The sequence below is a fragment of the Homo sapiens genome, chromosome 20, assembly GCF_000001405.40.
Source record: "Homo sapiens chromosome 20, GRCh38.p14 Primary Assembly".
NCBI classification, from domain to species: Eukaryota; Metazoa; Chordata; class Mammalia; order Primates; family Hominidae; genus Homo; species Homo sapiens.
Genome location: NC_000020.11, coordinates 24,960,780 through 24,979,158, shown reverse-complemented (window position 1 = coordinate 24,979,158; position 18,379 = coordinate 24,960,780). Strand labels below are relative to the sequence as shown.

At 46.3% G+C, this 18,379-nt stretch overlaps 1 protein-coding gene and 1 pseudogene across 2 annotated transcripts in view; one reads left to right on the top strand and one right to left on the bottom strand.

Moving 5' to 3' along the window:
* APMAP (adipocyte plasma membrane associated protein) overlaps window positions 1-16,234 on the top strand; it is a 29,827-nt gene extending 13,593 nt beyond the window's left edge. Inside the window, exons 3-9 of one of the 2 annotated variants that reach the window (NM_020531.3) lie at window positions 277-392; window positions 5,422-5,514; window positions 7,583-7,699; window positions 8,788-8,962; window positions 9,499-9,633; window positions 10,075-10,267; window positions 15,137-16,234. In NM_020531.3, coding sequence (NP_065392.1) covers window positions 277-392; window positions 5,422-5,514; window positions 7,583-7,699; window positions 8,788-8,962; window positions 9,499-9,633; window positions 10,075-10,267; window positions 15,137-15,346 — 1,039 coding nt within the window. In that variant the 3' untranslated portion in view covers window positions 15,347-16,234. The remainder of the gene's footprint in view (window positions 1-276; window positions 393-5,421; window positions 5,515-7,582; window positions 7,700-8,787; window positions 8,963-9,498; window positions 9,634-10,074; window positions 10,268-15,136) is intronic. The other variant, XM_005260763.4, reaches the window with a different exon arrangement.
* On the bottom strand, window positions 4,879-4,988 carry RNU6-1257P (RNA, U6 small nuclear 1257, pseudogene; annotated as a pseudogene).
* Window positions 16,235-18,379: the final 2,145 nt, after the last annotated feature.

Genomic DNA, 18,379 nt, shown 5'->3' with positions numbered 1-18,379 from the left:
AGGCTGGAGGATGGGTGGGCACAGGCCTCAGGATGCTCTCAGGTGACAAGATTGCTGAAGGTCTTGCACTAGCACATTTATATTTTTATATTTCTTTTGTACCATGATGTTTTCTGATATCCTAGAACAGTTTTTTCTTAACCCTTGTATTTCTGGCAACTGAGGATGTTGTTAGAAAGTGCCATCTTTATCAAAGAACTGAGAGCAGGTGCTCGGTACACATTTTCTTCACATGTGTATTTATAGACAGATCTCTGGAATTGCATTATTTTGCAGCTTCAAAGAACCCCCGCTCTTGCTTGGTGTTCTGCATCCAAATACGAAGCTGCGACAGGCAGAAAGGCTGTTTGAAAATCAACTTGTTGGACCGGAGTCCATAGCACATATTGGGGGTAAGTCTAAGCTTGGGTGGGGGGGGAGCCTTCCAGGCTGTCTGTTGTCTGAGGGGGCGGGTTCTGTGGGAGCAGCTGCAGTGGCACGCTGCCCCTGGACTGGGGCCCTGCACATCCTTCTTAGCTGCGGACGTGGGACTTGGCCCTCAGACATCACATGGGAGGCCCTAGTGGCTCTTTCTGCTGGTCTCATCTGCCCAGTTTGCATGCCATTTTAGCACTGGGTGATTTTGAATTCATCTCTATGGAACACTTTGTTGTGCTCAAAGTGTTGTGAAAGGAAAAAGGCCAAATACAGATACTGATTTTTAGTTCATTTATCAAAGTTAAATAGCTATTTGACAGCACAGTATTTCTTAGTTCCATTTGCTTTGTATAGATTTCACTGTGATGAAGACAAATGGTTCTCAATATTTCCACTGTTTTTGTCTGACTGTTTGAAATCTCACCTTGATGGGTACACTTAAGGGTAACCATCTGCATCACACTTGCCCATGCCTCAGAACTAGAATTGGGTCTGGTTCTAATACTTGCATCTCTAGCAACCTTGAACAAGGCATTTTCTGTTTGTTAAAATGAGAATTAAGTTTAGTATTGGGAAGGCACAGATAGTCACAGATAGTTTAAAACTTAATCTGGTATGGGCTTGCTGAGCAGCTTCTTTGGAAGTGCCGCTTGTTATTCTGAAGCACACTGTTCTCCAGGCAGTGGGTGGCTGTGGATATGTGCACACAGGGTGCTTCTGTTGTGCTCTCAAGGCCGGTCAGTGGCCTCTCTTCTAGTGACGTTTGACCAGCTTCTCTTGCCTGGGCCCTGTTATTTGACACAGGCCCCAAGGACTGGTCCATTTCTGCAGTTGGTTTGTTTTCTTGGCTGTCAAAGTCAAAATTGTTTCAAGAAGAGTAAATATCATGATAGAACTTTGTATTTCTCTTAAAAAGACATTGGCATTTATTTGTGTAAATTTTAAAAGCTTTAGCTTTTTTTGGTGAAAAATCAAATCTTGCTCTTTAAAACTGAAACTTAACAGCAGTTGAAGTGCAAACCAATGATCTTACCTCCCAAAGAGAGCACTTTCCTGTCTTTTTCTTTTTCACTGGGTTACTTCTCATTGTACTTTGTCACCAGGTCCCAGCTTTTTCTCTTTCTTTGATGAGCTGGTGACATTTCTTGGCCAGGCACAGTGGGGTCCTCTCTGGTGGGTGTGAGCCGCAGGGACCTGCCACTGCTGTCTCTGCCACCTCATTTGGAAGCTGTCCTGGGGGCTGGCTGGCAGGTTGCTGACAGTGGAAGGAGGTACTAGCTCTGGGGAGTGCTGGGAGAGAGTAACCACCAACTATAGCAGGCTTTATTTTATTTGTTTTTAAGTAGACTTTATTTTTAAGAGCAGTTTTAGGTTCACAGCAAAATTGAGCAGAAGGTACAGAGATTTTCTGAAAAAGAGTTTTTATTACGATTGGGTGTTGCATTTCGTCAAATACTTTTTCTGCACACATGCCATGCACAGCCTCCCACATGATCAACATCCCCCACCACAAGGGTAAGTTTGTTACAAGTGATGTACTCACATCAATACGTCAATAGTACTCGGAGTCTGTAGTTTACGGTAGGGTTCACTCTTGGTTTTATACATTCTATGGGTTTGGACAAATGCCATGTATCCACTGTTATGGTATCTTACAGGGTGTTTTCACTGCCCTGAAAATCCTCTTTGCTCTGCCTGTTCATTCCACCCTTTTCTTTTAACCCATGGCAACCACTGATCTTTTTGCCATCTCCATAGTTTTGCCTTTTCCAGAATGTTATGTAGCTGGACTCATACAGTATGTAGCCTTTTCAGATTGGCATCTTTCACTTAGTAGTATGCATTTATTTAAAATTCCTCCATGTCTTTCCATGGGTTGATAGCTCATTTCTTTTTAGCACTGAGTAATATTCCATTGTATGGATGTGCCACAGTTTAGTTACCTACTGAAGTACATCTTGGTTGCTGCTAAGTTTTGGCAGTTATGAATAAGGCTGGTATAAACATCTGTGGGCAGGTTTTTGTGTGGACCTAAGTTTTCAGCTCATTTGGGTAAATACCGAAAAGCATAATTGCTGGATTGTATGGTAAGAGTTAAGTTTTGTAAGAAACCACCAAGCGTTTCCAAAGTGGCTGTACCATTTGCCTTCCCATTAACAATTAGTGAGAGTTCCTGATGCTCCATGTCCTCGCCAGCATTTGGTGGTGTCAGTGTTTTGGATTTTGGCCCTTTTAATAGGTGTATAGTGGTGTCTCGTTGTTTTAATTTGCATTTCTCTGATGATATTTGATGTGGAATATCTTCATATGCCTACCTGCCATCTGTATATCTTCTTGGTGATGTGTCTGTTCAGGCCTTTTGCCCATTTTTGTAATTGGGTTGTTCATTTTCTTATTGTTGAGTTTTAAGAGTTGTTTGTGTATTTTGGATAATAGTTCTTTATCAGACATGTTGTTTGCCAATATTTTCTCCAGTCTGTGGCTTCTCATTCTTTTGACAGTATCTTCTGTAGAGCAAGAGTTTTTAATTTTAATGAAGTTTCACTTATTAATTATTTCTTCATGTATCTCACCTTGGTTTTATATCTAAAAATTCATCATCATACCCTAGGTGTTATATCTAAAAATTCATCATCATACCTAGATTTTCTCCTATGTTCTAGGAATTTGTTTTGTATTTTATATTTAGGTCTATGATCCATTTTGAATTCCATTTTTGTGAAGGGTATAAGGTTTGTGTCTAGATTTATTTGTTTGCATGTGGATGCAAACAAATTTGTTCCAGCACCATTTGTGGAAAACACTGTCTTTTCTCCATTATGCATTGCCTTTACTCCTTTGTCAAAAGATCAGTTGATTGTATTTATGTGGGTCTGTCTCTGGGCTAAAAATTTTATCTGTTCTATTGATTTATTTTTCTATTCTTTTGCTAATACCACATTGTCTTGATTACTGTAGCTTTATAGAGAATCTTGAAGTTGAGTAGTTTCAGTCCTCTGACTTTATTCTTTTCCTTCAATATTGTATTGGATATTTTGAGTCTTCGCCCTCTCCATATGAACTTTAGGATTCATTTGTCTGTATCTACAAAATAACTTGCTGGGATTTTGATTGGGATTGCATTGAATCTATAGATTAAGGTTGGGAAAAACTGACATCTTGACAATATTGAGTATTCCTGTCCATGAACATGGAATATCTCTCCATTTATTTAGTTCTTTGATTTCTTTCATCAGAATATTCTAGTTTTCCTCATATAGACCTCGTGTATATTATATTATATTTATACCTAAGTATGCCAATCTTTTGGATGCTAATGTACATAGTATTGTGTTTTCAATTCCAAATTCCATTTGTTCATTGTTAGTATAAAGGAAGGTGAGTCAATATCTTGCAATATCCTGCAACCATGCTATAATTGCTTGGTTCCAGGAGGGTTTTTTGTTGTTGTTGATTCTTTCAGATTTTCTATCTAGACAATTATGTCACTTGCAAACAAAGAAAGTTTTATTTCTTTCTTCTCAATCTGTATACCTTTTGTTTCCTTTTCATGTCTTACTGCATTAGCTAGGTCTTCAAGTATGATACTGAAAAGGAGTGGTGATAGGGGCATCTTTGCCTTGTTCTTGATCTTAGCAGGAAAGCTTCTAGTTTGTCATCCATAAGTATGATGTTATATGTAGATTTTTTTATAGATATTCTTGATCAAGTTAAGAAAGTTTCCCCTCTACTCCCAGCTTGCTGAGAGTTTTTAATCATGAATGGGTGTTGGATGTTACTAGATGTTTTTTTCTGTATCTGTTGATATGATCATGTGATTATTCTTGTTTAGATTGTTGAAGTCTCTAACTGTGATAGTGGATTCTGTTTCTCCTTGCAGTTTCATCAGTTTTTGCCTCACATATTGGTGCTCTATTGTGAAGCATATACACATTAAAGGTTCTTATGTTTTTTTGAGGCATTGACCCCTTTGTCATTGTGTGATGCTCCTCTTTATCCCTGATAACTTTCCTTGGTCTGAAGTGTTCTCTGTCTGAATTTAATACAGCTATTCTGGGTTGCTTTTGGTTAGTGTTAACATGATGTACTTTCTTCATCCCTTCACTTTTAATCTATATATGTCTTTATATTTAAAGTGGGTTTCTTGTACACAACATAGAGTTGGGTCTTGTTTTTTGAATAATTCTGGCAATGTCTCTCTTTCAGTTGGTATATTTAGACCATTTATGTTTAAAGTGATTATTGATATATTGGATTAATATCTACCGTATTTGTTACTGTTTTCTATTCTTTGCCCTTATTCTTTGTTTCTATTTTTGCATTCTACTCTCTTTTTGTCTTTTGTAGTTTTAAACTGAGTATTTTATATGATTCCATTTTCTCTCCTTTCTTAGCATATCAGTTATACTTCTTTTTTTTACTTTTTGTAGTGGTTACCCTTGAGTTTGCAATATACATTTGAAAACTATGGAATGTTTTATGAATTTGTGTATCATCATTGCTCAAGGGGCATGCTAGTAGTCTTCTCTGTATCATTCTAATTTTAGTATATGTGCTGCTGAAGTAAGCACTTAATGTGCTGTAATTTTCTTCTAAAGGATTTCTGGCAGTTCTTCTCCTTTAGTTGGATATAATCAATATCAGCAGCAGACACTGATGTGAGGTGAATATGAACTCATGCCCCTAAGTGCTGAGTGTCAGCTTGAGTGCTTCAGGACTGGAGAAAATCCTCACAGTTCTCATCACTGACTGGTATCTGCTGCACCCTTGCTTTTGAGTCAGGTTCATGCCCACAGGCTGCTTCCCTAGGCCCCCGCAGTTTTATCACTGTAAGTTTTAAGGATTTTTCATATTCCCAGAAATTGCTTCTCTTCCATCTTGAGAATTGGCATTTCCTCTATAGGGCAGGGGGAACATGTAAACAAGCCCTCTTGTAGGAGAAGGCGGCTTAGTCACATTTCTTAGGCTAACATTGCTCTTCCTCCTTTTTGTGTTTTTAAACAGATGTGATGTTTACTGGGACAGCAGATGGCCGGGTCGTAAAACTTGAAAATGGTGAAATAGAGACCATTGCCCGGTTTGGTTCGGGCCCTTGCAGTAAGTTGGTGATAATCCCTCGATGTGTCTCTTCCAGTCTTTCAGAAAGATGTTGGATCGTTGTGTGGAACTGCTTTTCCCTAGAATGCCTGTGGGAGAAAAAGAACCTCTGACCATCTAGTAGATGGAACATGACGTCACTACGAGCTCTTCATTTGCCGGGTGGTCCTTGGGCCTCACGGTGCCTGATGGTCACCTACAGTCCCCATTTTGCAGCTGGGTAGTGGCTGTGGCCCCTGCTTGGTACTGCATGGGCCTCGCCCCTCACCATTTTATTGGGGTCCCCGTTTACCTTTGCGGTACTTCAGAGGCTAATAGGTGTTATCACAGTGCTGCTGTGGAAAAGTAGGTGGCCTTGTCATTACTTGGATGTGTAAGTGTTATTCTGCCTTGGTCTCAGGAATTTCAGCCCTGTAAGTGAGAATACCCTTAAGTCATTCAAATTTTGGAAAACTAGAGTAGAAGACTCACTGTTTAAAACTGATAGTCTATAGACTTAATAGTTATCATTTTTTAATAGCTGGAATGTTTTTATTAAAGTGATGTATTTTCATAAACACAAACAACACAAAGGTACAAAGGAGAAAATAAAAATCACCTGAGTCTTTTCAGATGTAATTGTTATGAACATTTTAGTGGTTCACTTTTCAGACATCTTTTTGTTCATGGACATGCACACCCACACGTATGATGGAATTATACCCTACATCAGTTCTTTAACCTGCCTTTTTCCGTGCCATTTTGGCAGTAAGCACCCTGCAGTGAGCATCCCACAGTGAACACCCTGCAATAAGCATTTGCAGTGAGCACCCATGGTCAGCACCTACAATAGCACCTGGAGTGATCACCCATGGTGAGCACCCTACAGTAAGCACCTGCAGTGAGCACCCCACAGTGAACACCCTGCAGTAAGCACCTACAGTGAGCACCTATAGTGAACACCTGCAGTGGTACTTGCAATGAGCACCCTACAGTTAATGACCCACAAAAGCACCTGTAGTGAGCACCCTGCAATAAGCACCTGTAGTGAGCACCCCACAGTGAACACCCTGCAATAAGCACCTGTAGTGAGCACCTTCAGTGAGGACCCCACAGTGAACACCTTGCAATAAGCATCTGCAGTGAACACCCCACAGTGAACTCCCTGCAGTAAGCCCCTGCGGTGAGCACCCCACAGTGACCACCCTGCAATAACACCCTGCAATAAGCGCCTGCAGTGAGCACTCCACTTGAACACCCTGCAGTAAGCACCTGCAGTGAGTACCTCACAGTGAACACCCTGCAATAAGCACCTGCAGTGAGCACCCCACAGTGAACATCTTGCAATAAGCCCCTGTGGTGAGCACCCCACAGTGAACACCCTGCAATAACACCCTGCAATAAGCACCTGCAGTGAGCACTCCACTTGAACACCCTGCAGTAAGCACCTGCAGTGAGTACCTCACAGTGAACACCCTGCAATAAGCACCTGCAGTGAGCACCCCACAGTGAACACCTTGCAATAAGCACCTGCAATGAGCACCCCACAGTGAACACCCTGCAATAACCACCTGCAGTGAGCACCCCACAGTGAACACCCTACAATAAGCACCTGCAGTGAGCACTCTACACAAACACCCTGCAGTAAGCACCTGTAGTGAGCACCCCACAGTGAACACCCTGCAGTAAGCACCTGCAGTGAGCACCCTGCAATAAGCACCTGCAGTGAGTACCCCACAGTGAACACCCTGCAATAAGCACCTGCAGTGAGCACCTCACAGTGAACACCCTGCAATAAGCAACTGTAGTGAGCACCCTGCAATAAGCACCTGCAGTGAACACCCCACAGTGAACACCCTGCAGTAAGCACCTACAGTAAGCACCCTGCAGTGAGCACCCCACAATGAACACCTTGCAATAAGCACCTGCAGTGAGCACCTGCAGGGCAGTTGTAGCTCTAATGCCATGGTCTTGTCTTGTTCTGTACAGCATGATGTATGGGAAGGGATGGATGAGATGCTTGGATACTGAGAACAGCACATGTAGAATCCGGGACCAGCTACCAATCCCCATCTGTTTGTTTTTCTAGAAACCCGAGATGATGAGCCTGTGTGTGGGAGACCCCTGGGTATCCGTGCAGGGCCCAATGGGACTCTCTTTGTGGCCGATGCATACAAGGGACTATTTGAAGTAAATCCCTGGAAACGTATGTGACAATATCTCGTTTCCTTCTATGAAGATTTTAGATCTTTTAAACAATATATGTATGTGTAGACTTAATAGGATTTGTTAGCAACAGTCTACTAAAGACTCTGATATTTCTTATTCACTGAACAGTACTGAAAACATTGCCTGCAAAAGTCAGCTAGTTTTAAACACCAGAAAACTCCCTACCCATGATTCCATTTGGTCCGTATCCTAATTTCCTCCTAGTATTTATATTTTAGCCACAGGGTCTCAAAAGGACTTATTTTGAGGAAGTTAGACCTCTTTCTGTCTTGATTTTTCTGTGTGTCTCTCTGCGTCTTGTCTATTTGTTTTCTCTCTTTCTTCTCTGTGGCCCTCCCCTTTGTCTCTTCCTTTCTGTTTTCTCCTGTAGTTCCTCCTCTTCTCTCCCCTGATTGCTCATGAGTCCCCTTGATCAGGCTGTAATACGTGCTGTGTGTCTCAGTGGAGGTTCCTGCTGGGGAGGAGTCCGTTGTCTTGTGCGTGGGGGCCCGAACATAGGCCCTGCAGCCCAGCTGCTTGGGGGCATTCCACTCTGCTGGCCACCAGCTGTGACTGCAGGTCCCTTAGTTGCTCTCTGCCCAGCTTCCTCATCAAATTGGGGTCATAGTAGCCCTGCCTGTGGGATTGTTGCGAGGGTTTAAAGGCGATCACACCTCGAGAGTGCTTAGCACTCAATCCATGTTCTTTCTATTATTTTTCAAAACTTACTACTACTTTTCTTTTCTAAAAGGAGATGAGTAGAATGTCATATTTCTCTCAAATAGAACTAACAAATAGAACTGAAGCCTGCCTAACACTTGCAGTAGATGTTATCAAGTCAGTTGGCCTTAGTAAAAGAAGGAATTCCTCATCCTTATAGAAAAGATTCTGCCTTTAATGAAATTAGTCTAAAAAAATCATTTAACACCTAATACTGTTTTTACTATAAGAAGGAATAAATCTTCTGACAAATGACATGGAGAAGTTTCAGTTTTTCTTTTTAAATCAGTTAGGTTGGTTAATATTTTGCAATTATTGAGAAGTTCCTAGTTCAAGTCAATCTTTTTCTTTCTTTTTAAACTTCAGGTGAAGTGAAACTGCTGCTGTCCTCCGAGACACCCATTGAGGGGAAGAACATGTCCTTTGTGAATGATCTTACAGTCACTCAGGATGGGAGGAAGATTTATTTCACCGATTCTAGCAGCAAATGGCAAAGACGAGACTACCTGCTTCTGGTGATGGAGGGCACAGATGACGGGCGGTGAGGCCTTGCTCCAGGTCTCCCATTTGTTGAGTTCACCAGCCAGGCCAGTTGCTTCAGCAGAGCCTGTTACTTCTAGGGACCAAGGGAGTATTTCCAGCATCATATTTCAGCTTCTAGGACAGGACCTTAGTGGCTTCTGGAGGCAGGTGATGGATGTCACAAAATGGAACAAGGTGCTTTCGTTTTCTCTGAGGAAATAAAACAGGCCAGTCCGTCTGAGGGTGCAAGTCTAGGCAGTCGAGAGAGACCCCGGAGGCAGGCCTGGGCTTTGGGTTGCCTCTCTGAGGGGTATTCCTGTCCAGCTCCCAGGTGAGCAAGATAACTGACCTTGGGGTTCCCTGGAGGGGACACTGGATCTGCTGTGGATGGGGAAGGGCCCCCAGGGGCCAGCCTCGAATCAAGTTTGAGCAGGGCACCCAGGGCCTGTTGCTCCGGGGTGAGGCGGAGTCACCTTCTTCAGGCCCATACCCTGAAGGCCCAGAGTGGGAGCCAGGGATTCTCCCCCATAACCCTCTGCTTTTGGTGTTCCACAGCCTGCTGGAGTATGATACTGTGACCAGGGAAGTAAAAGTTTTATTGGACCAGCTGCGGTTCCCGAATGGAGTCCAGCTGTCTCCTGCAGAAGACTTTGTCCTGGTGGCAGAAACAACCATGGCCAGGATACGAAGGTGTGTGTGGGATTAGCTGAGCCATCAGTTACTGGCCAGAGCGCATCATGGCCGGGGTGGGGTGGGCATGGAAATGGGATCGACAGAAATCAGAGGCAGCAGCGCACCTTCTGCATGGCATGTTAAAGAAAATTCAAGGGTGCGCTTTCTTTCTCCCATTGCGAGTCGCAGTCCGGAAGAGTGTCTTAAGGCTGACTGGTGCAGCCCGGGCCCCATTCCCCTGCTGGCAGGGCCTTGGTCCTCCCCTGACCTACTTCCCCTCTGTTCATACTGGGCCCTGTGCACAAAGGTTTCTTCTCAGCAGCTGAGCCTTTGTTCATGATGGTCATAGAGCACTTTCCATATATATATTTGGACCAAGACCAGTTTGGTGCTTGGCTAAAATTTTTTTTCTGAAATTGAGGGGCTATGGTTCACTCTCTGCTTGGGTGAATTTTTCAGAGTCTACGTTTCTGGCCTGATGAAGGGCGGGGCTGATCTGTTTGTGGAGAACATGCCTGGATTTCCAGACAACATCCGGCCCAGCAGCTCTGGGGGGTACTGGGTGGGCATGTCGACCATCCGCCCTAACCCTGGGTTTTCCATGCTGGATTTCTTATCTGAGAGACCCTGGATTAAAAGGATGATTTTTAAGGTAACTGTGAAAACTGTTATTCCAAGAAAGAAAATGGAAATGAATTGAATCATATTTTTTTGACCCTTATAGCTTAAAAATCTAGTTCTGCTTGTAGTATTTGGCTCTGAATGACACTTAGAAACACATTTCATTCTTCATCCTGAAATGCAGATTTAAACATTTGGACCCTTTGGTTCTTATGGTTTTCCTTTTTCTGGGTGTTTTTATTGTCACCCTCACCATCGTGGCTTTGGGCATCTGCCTGCCTGTCAGTCTCTGGTTCCCTGTTTCTGGGTGTTTTGATTGCCACCCTCACCATCGTGGCTCTGGGCATCTGCGTGCCTGTCAGTCTTGCTCCTCCATCTGCCATGGCTTTGCCAGGCCTTCTGTGCTCTCCACCCCCCTCTCTGCCTCCTCAGGGAAAGAGTCGGCAGGTGCCCTTTCCTCCCCTCCCTGCAGGTGTGGCCACCCCTGTAACCTAGTCACCACAGCTGCCATCCCGCCTGCTCCCTGCTGCCTTCTTGCAGCCTCACTGCCAGGCACTCTTCTCTATGGAGTTCTGCCCTTTGACCTCTTACCACACCCAAATCTTTCCCTTTTTAAAAAAAAGTCACCCACCCCCACCAATGGCCAGCCATGGCCCCTTCAACACAACAGCCCCTTCAACACAGCCTTTAAATCTTGCCATTTTCCCAGTGGCTTCCATGAAGCACCCCACATAATAACTCAGCACGTTTACACTGTGGAGGGGTCACTTGCTGATGTGGGCACTTGTGTAATACAGAGATCTGCTTTTCCAGCAAGCTCCGTGTCACAGGCTGAATAGGTATTTTAAATTGATACTGAATATTTGAACCGATATGGAAATACTAGCTTATGGTCCTGGGGCTGACAGGCAGCAGTTGCTGAGTCCTGTTGCTGGGCTGTGTGTCTGGACCCCTCCTGGGGGCTGCGTGCACATTCTCAGTTAGACTGGCTCACGGCCTTCAGTGATGTGAGTTCTGTGGGTCGCTGTGTGGGAAGTCCTAATCTGTTGAGAAATCTGTCCTTCTCTTTGCCTTATTGGCTCCAGAGACAGCATCTGTTCCTGCTGGGACCTAGGGGGAGGCAAAATGGCAGGTGGGCTAGCACAGGGGTTTTGGAGGCTGCCAGACCAGCTGTGGGATCCTGGGCCGGGGACTTGGACTCGCTGCCTCAGGTGCTCTGTCTGTAAAGTGGAAAGAATAATAGTGCCTCATCAGGTGCTGGGAACATTTAGTGAGAATCTGCACATAGTGCCCTTAGCGTAGGGTAGTATGAGTGGTGGTTGTGTCTCTTCCCCTGAATAGAATGTGCATACCATCAGAGCAGGTGTTTTTCTGTTTAGTTCATGCATAGTTCATTTGTCATCCTCCACACCTGCAACAGTGCCTGGCACATGTAGGTGCGAGGACGTACCGTTGATTGAGGGCACAGTTAGGGAGGGGGCTGCAAGCATGAGGGAACATGGAGTCTTCCTGCAGCTGGGTGAGGAGGGGTGAGAGGGAGGACCACAGCCCCATGGACTTGGAAAGAAGGTTCAGTTTTATTCAAAATGTAATCCAAGTCATTGAAGATTTTTTTGTTTTTTGTTTTTGAGACGGAGCCTCGCCCTGTCACCCAGGATGGAGTGCAGTGGCGTGATCTCGGCTCACTGCAACCTCTGCCTCCTGGGCTCAAGTGATTCTCCTGCCTCAGCCTCCTGACTAGCTGGGACTACAGGTGTGTACCACCACGCTTGGCTAATTTTTTGTATTTTTAATAGAGACGAGTTTTCACCATGTTGGCCAGGCTGGTCTCGAACGCCTGACCTCAAGTAATCCACCCGTCTCAGCCTCCCAAAGTTCTGGGATTACAAGCGTGAGCCACCATGCCCGGCCTGATTTTTTTCTTTTTTTAATTTCGAGGCAGTATCAAAGCTGTGGAAAGAGGGAGGGTACAAGGGATTTTTTTCCCAGCACTGTTTCCGAGTTAGCGGCTGGCCTAATGCCCTGTCACTCACTGCAGATGCCTGAGCATGTGTTTGGCACATTCTCCTTCATTACCACTGAGTGAAACCAGGAGATGCCCACAGCTCCCCTGTGACTGTCCGGTCTGCAGGCCCCATTCAGATTTTGCCAGTTGTCCCGGTGTTGTCCTTTATAACAAATGATTCAACCCAGGATCAGGAGTGGTGTTTAGTTGTCAGCTGTTTAATCTCCTTCAGTCTGGGGGATATTCAGCTCCTGTCTTTTTTTGAATTTTTGGCCTTGATCCTTTGAAAGCGTACAGGTCAGCTGTGTCCCAGAATGTCCCTCCAGTAGGGTTTGTTTTTCATATTTAGATTCTGCTCTCGCATCGTTGGCAGCAGTGGCGCAGCAGTGAAGCTGTGCTCATCTTGGCGCGGCTGTCATGAGGGCGCGATACCAGTTTGCTCTGTTGGGGTGGTGGCAACTTTGGCCACCTGATTCAGGCAGGGAATGCCAGGTGTCTCCACCTGGACGTGGTTCTTTCATGTCTAATTACTGAGTTGCTCGCAGAGAGGTGGTTTTTGTAAGTAATCACCAGTGCCATCTTATGGTTTCCCATGTTCTTAATGGTGATTATGTTACAGTCATCATTGATTTTGATGCTCAAATTACCCATCTGTGGCCAGGAGGAGCCCCTTCAGTGTGGCTTCTGGGCCTTTGGGCATGTCCTCTTGTCTTGGGCTAGCTCCTCACTTTCCAGCACATAAGTCGTTCCAGTTTCCTCTTGTATTGTCCCTGCTTCAGCTCTGCAATCGGCCATTTCTCCCAGGAGCCCTGGTTCCTTGTGGAGGAGATCTGGGTGCTGAGTGTACTCGCTGCTTTGGGTGTCGCTGCTCCCAGGTCCCTAAGGGACAACGCTGGGAGTACAAGCACACGATGCATACTCACATATACCTGCACGCGTAGACATCACACACACACACCACTCACGCTTATGCCTGCATCTGTCATCTGTAAATTGAAAACCATGACAACACCACAGGACTGATCCAAGTTTTCTCCCCTTATTTTTCCCCCTATTTGTACCTCTCCAACAGTGAGAAACCTGGATCCCATTGTCCTCCCTAGGTTTACCTGTTCAACCATTTTCTGTGCATGTGACCAATCTGTGGTTGCTGTGCCCTGTCACATGGCCCCATCCAGGGCTGTAGCACCCCATGCTGGGCTGTCCCCTTCCTCCCTGACCATGTGCTGGAGGCTGCCTTTCGCCTCAAGGGCTGTGATCCCTGCACCGGGCTGTCCCTGGGTGTACACCTCCTCACTTGCATGGGCTCTCACAGCCTGATCTGGGCCTCACTGTGGGGACACCTCCTCACCCCGTGTGGGCCCTGACAGCCCGTGCCAGGCCACTCCCCTGCAGGGACACCTCCTCACCCAAGCGGAGTGGGCTTGTCTGGGTCACCATGGTCTGCCATCCCCTGCACACATGTACCCTGCTCAGCCCCATGCTCCTGATGGAGTTGTTTAGGAGGGGAGTGATGTAGTACAAAGAATGTTTTTAAAGAGAACTGCAGCTACTGCAAGGAGAACAGCTTGCAGCAGGGCTCAGCTGGCTGTGGGAGCCTGTGTGGAAGCTGTCTCAGTGACTGGGGAGAGGCGGCAGGGCAGGGCCCAGGCCAGGGACACACACAACAGATGGCAAGACTGGCAGCTGGGCTTGTAGGGCACAGAGAGACTGGGATCAAGGGAAGGCTGGGGTCCTGGCCCTGTCTCCAGAGCTGGGGAGGCTGTTGAATTTGAAGTGCTATTAGAAAGGCCAGGCAGACATGGGTCCCAGACAGTGAGAAACTTAGCACTGGTGTTGGAGATGGCGATTTGAGAGCTTTCTGGGAAAGTGACTAGTTGTAATAGTGAGAGAGGATGAGATCTCTTAGGGGGAAGAGAGAAGAGAGGAGAGTGGGAAGGATCCACGGCCGAACAGCAGGAGATGGCATTTCCTAGGTAGTGGGAAGCCTTGGGAATTTTTTGAGCTGTAATGCAGTTGATCTATCGCTGTTGAACCTAGAGTCTAGTCAGCTTGTCTGTCTGCTTGAACATTTCCAGTGACTGGGAGACATTATTCGTTGGACACTTGTTTGGGTATTTTCCCTTGTATTAAAAGCTAGAAATCTGTCTGTTAATTTCCATTCCTTGGTCTTAGGCAGTGGAGTGCTTTGTCATAATTTCCGACCAGGTGTCCTTCTGCTCTGCCAGAAATCACGCCTCTCGCCATCTGTTCTCTGCTTAATACTCTTCAACAGTCCCGTGTGACCACAGAGTCCAGGTCTAAGCTCTTTTGCCTCCGTCCCTGTAGGCGTCCCTCAGGATCTGCACGCCCCGCTTTGAGGAAAGCAGTGGGATTTTGCTTTTTGTTTTGGAAGCCATGTTGTGTGGTCTGTGGACCTGCTTGCTTTTTTTGAATGTGAGCTGCTCTCAAATCTCCATCATTTGCACCTTGCCTATTTGAAATGTTTTAAATCTAAACAGAAGACTTGTGTATTCCAGGGAAGCTGCGCTGGTTGTGATCTGGTGAGTGGAGGTCATTCTGAGCCTTGGCTGCAGTGCTGTGACCACGTCGGATGTGATATGTCTCTCTCAGTTCAGCCAGGCCATCCAGAGATGTGCTTGCGTTGCTGTCCTTGTGCTGGGGAGCCTCTTTGGCCTGATCTTCACAGGGACAGGGGTGGGGTGGGGCCTGCTTTGGGGCCCCTGGGCTGGGAGTGGGAGCTGGATTAGCTGTCCTGTGGGGCACTGCCCTGTGGGGCTGCCCTGTCATGGGAAGGAGTCAGACCGTTCCTGGATGGTGGGGGCGGCACGGTTGATCTGCGCACAGTGTTCTTGGCCAGCTGGTGAACTTTCCCTGCACTGTGCTTCCCTCTAGCTCTTTAGTCAAGAGACGGTGATGAAGTTTGTGCCGCGGTACAGCCTCGTCCTAGAACTCAGCGACAGCGGTGCCTTCCGGAGAAGCCTGCATGATCCCGATGGGCTGGTGGCCACCTACATCAGCGAGGTGCACGAACACGATGGGCACCTGTACCTGGGCTCTTTCAGGTCCCCCTTCCTCTGCAGACTCAGCCTCCAGGCTGTTTAGCCCTCCCAGATAGCTGCCCCTGCCACGCAGGCCAGGAGTCTTCACACTCAGGCACCAGGCCTGGTCCAGGAGGAGCTGTGGACACAGTCGTGGTTCAAGTGTCCACATGCACCTGTTAGTCCCTGAGAGGTGGTGGGAATGGCTGCTTCATTCCTCGAGGATGCCCGGGCCCCACCTGGGCTTGTCTTTCTGTTTAGAGGGAAGTGTAACATATCTGCCATGAGGAACATAAATTCATGTAAAGCCATTTTCTCTTAAACAAAACAAAACTTTCTAAGTACAGTCATTCTCTAGGATTTGGGAAGCTCCTTGCACTTGGAACAGGGCTCAGGTGGGTGGAGCAGTAAGGCACTACCCAGAGAGCTTGCTGCTGCGGCCCTGTCCTGCGGCCTCAAAGTTCTTCTTTACTATATATAACGTGCGGTCATACCTTTCTTCGTTGTGGTGGGGATGGAAGAGCAGAGGGAGCATGGCCCAGGGGTGTTGAGGCCAGCGGTGAGAGCCGTGTTAGCCAAGACATGGAACTGTGTTCTCAAGGGTTATGTGGGGCGTGGGCTCTCCATAGTGTGTATGAAAAGCTTGTTGACTCTAGCGGCTCAGAGAGGACTTTGCTGGGTTTCTTTCTGTGAATATCTCCGTGCTGACCATGCTGGAATTGGATGATTCTGCAATTCGGGACCTACTGCAGGGGTCCGTTTAGTAACGTCTTGTCTGTGATCTTTGTTCTTGACCTCTAGACCCCAAGATGTGAACAGTGCACGTGTTAATGTCATCTTTGCTCATGTGTTATAAGCCCCAAGTTGCTGTATATTTTCACAAGTATGTCTACACACTGGTCATGATTTTGATAATAAATAACGATAAATCGACTTCTGCTGATTAACCTTTTTTGATGGTGTGGCCTGGGAGTTTCTTCTCTACTTTAATTAACAGTACTGAAATTTAATTCCATCAGGTGTCAATGTAAGGATTGTCTTGGTGAGGATGATGTTTTAAGGCCAAACAGTCCATCCGACTAGCTCAGGAGGGAAGCTGTGGGACTTCTCTCAGGCAGCCGTCTTCAGGCAAGGAGCAGGCGACCTTAGACCATCTGCTCTTGATGCCGACTCCCTCTGGCGTAAGTTGATATTACACTTCCCTCCTGTTTTCCAGCCTACGAAATGGGGCTGACATCTGTTCCTTTCTTTCCTGGGTATTTGTGAGAGTAACAAGAGATTGTGTCTCCAAAGATGTTTGGAATAACTTCACAGACAGTATTTTAAATAGATATCAAAGTCAGAAAAAAATCAGATAAATATGTAATGATACAAAAATTCAGAGAACTGATAGCTGTGGTAACATTGGGACCATCTGTGTGCACTGGCTGGCCTTGGACTCCTGTGTCCTCCTTTCCCCTGAGTGGTGGCCAGGCCCTGTTGGGGGAAGAGAGTTGGGAGTCTGATGGTTAATTCCCCCAGTGCTGGTCAGGCCCCATGTTGGGGGAAGAGAGTCGGAAGTCTGGTAGTTGATTCCCCCAGCTCTGGTCAGGCCCCTTGTTGGGGGAAGAGAGTCGGGAGTCTGATGGTTAATTCCCCCAGTGCTAGTCAGGCCCCATGTTGGGGGAAGAGAGTTGGGAGTCTGATGTTTAATTCTCCCAGCGCTGGCCAGGCCTCATGTTAGGGGAAGAGAGTCGGGAGTCCGATAGTAAATTCCCCCAGCTCTGGCCAAGCCCCATGTTGGGAAGAGAGTCGGGAGTCTGATGGTTAATTCCCCCCGGCGCTGGTCATGCCCTGTGTCGGGAGAAGAGAGTCGGGGGTCTGACAGTTAATTCCCCCAGCTCTGGCCAGGCCTCATGTTAGGGGAAGAGAGTCGGGAGTCTGTTGGTTAATTCCCCCAGTGCTGGTCAGGCCCCATGTTAGGGGAAGAGAATCGGGAGTCTGATGTTTAATTCTCCCAGCGCTGGCCAGGCCTCATGTTAGGGGAAGAGAGTTGGGAGTCCAATAGTTAATTCCCCCAGCTCTGGCCAAGCCCCGTGTTGGGAAGAGAGTCGGGGGTCTGATGGTTAATTTCTCCCAGCGCTGGTCAGGCCCCGTGTTGTGGGAAGAGAGTTGGGATTCTGATGGTCAATTCCTCCAGCGCTGGCCAGGCCCCATATTGGGGGAAGAGAGTTGGGAGTCTGATGGTTAATTCCGCCAGTGCTGGTCAGGCCCCATATTGGGGGAAGAGAGTTGGGAGTCTGATGGTTAATTCCCCCAGGGCTGGTCAGGCCCCGTGTTGGGGGTAGAGAGTCGGGAGTGTCCCCGCTTCTCAAGGCTGGCTCCTGGAGGCAGCACCAGTAGGACAGAGGCAAAGATTGGCTTCTGTCTAATTGGTGTGACCCACATTGTGTCAGATAAACAACTCAAAGTTTTTTGTGTGACTCTATAGGAAAGAAAATTAGTGGTCATTAGAAATACTTTTAGTAATAAATGATGTGCCTTGTATGTCAAGTATACAAAGAAAATAATACCTAATCATTCTGTCATACAAACAATTTAAATGTGCTGGGCTTATAGGTAGATTCCCTTTTTAAATTGAGAACAGAGAGCTTTGCTTTCAGTGCTTAATTTTCACAAATATAGAGAAGCTGGCAAACTGGTTTTCACAGTTTTTAGCAATGGAGTCTTGATGTTGACTTAGCTGTTGATTTTCTGTCTCCAAGTGTCATTTCCTGTGTTTTATCTGGTAATTTGACATGGTGAGGTGTGAAATAGAGTCTTCTTATTAGGTTTAAATATGTGATAGCTTTTGCTGTAAACATAAAAGGGATTCGTTCTAACCTGAATTACTAACATGCTCTTAATCAGGTGACTCATTATGTGCCTCTGTTATCCCTTACAGAAACTCCATCAAGATTCAGCTATTACGTTTCATAGGACAGAGATATCAGTTTGAGATTTTTATCATCAGCTTACTACACTTGCAGAGTGGCCTGTAGTTCTGAAAGTTGTTCACATACGCTGACTCTTAATGATTCCAGAAGACATGGCCTCATTGCACCAATGGGAACTGAGG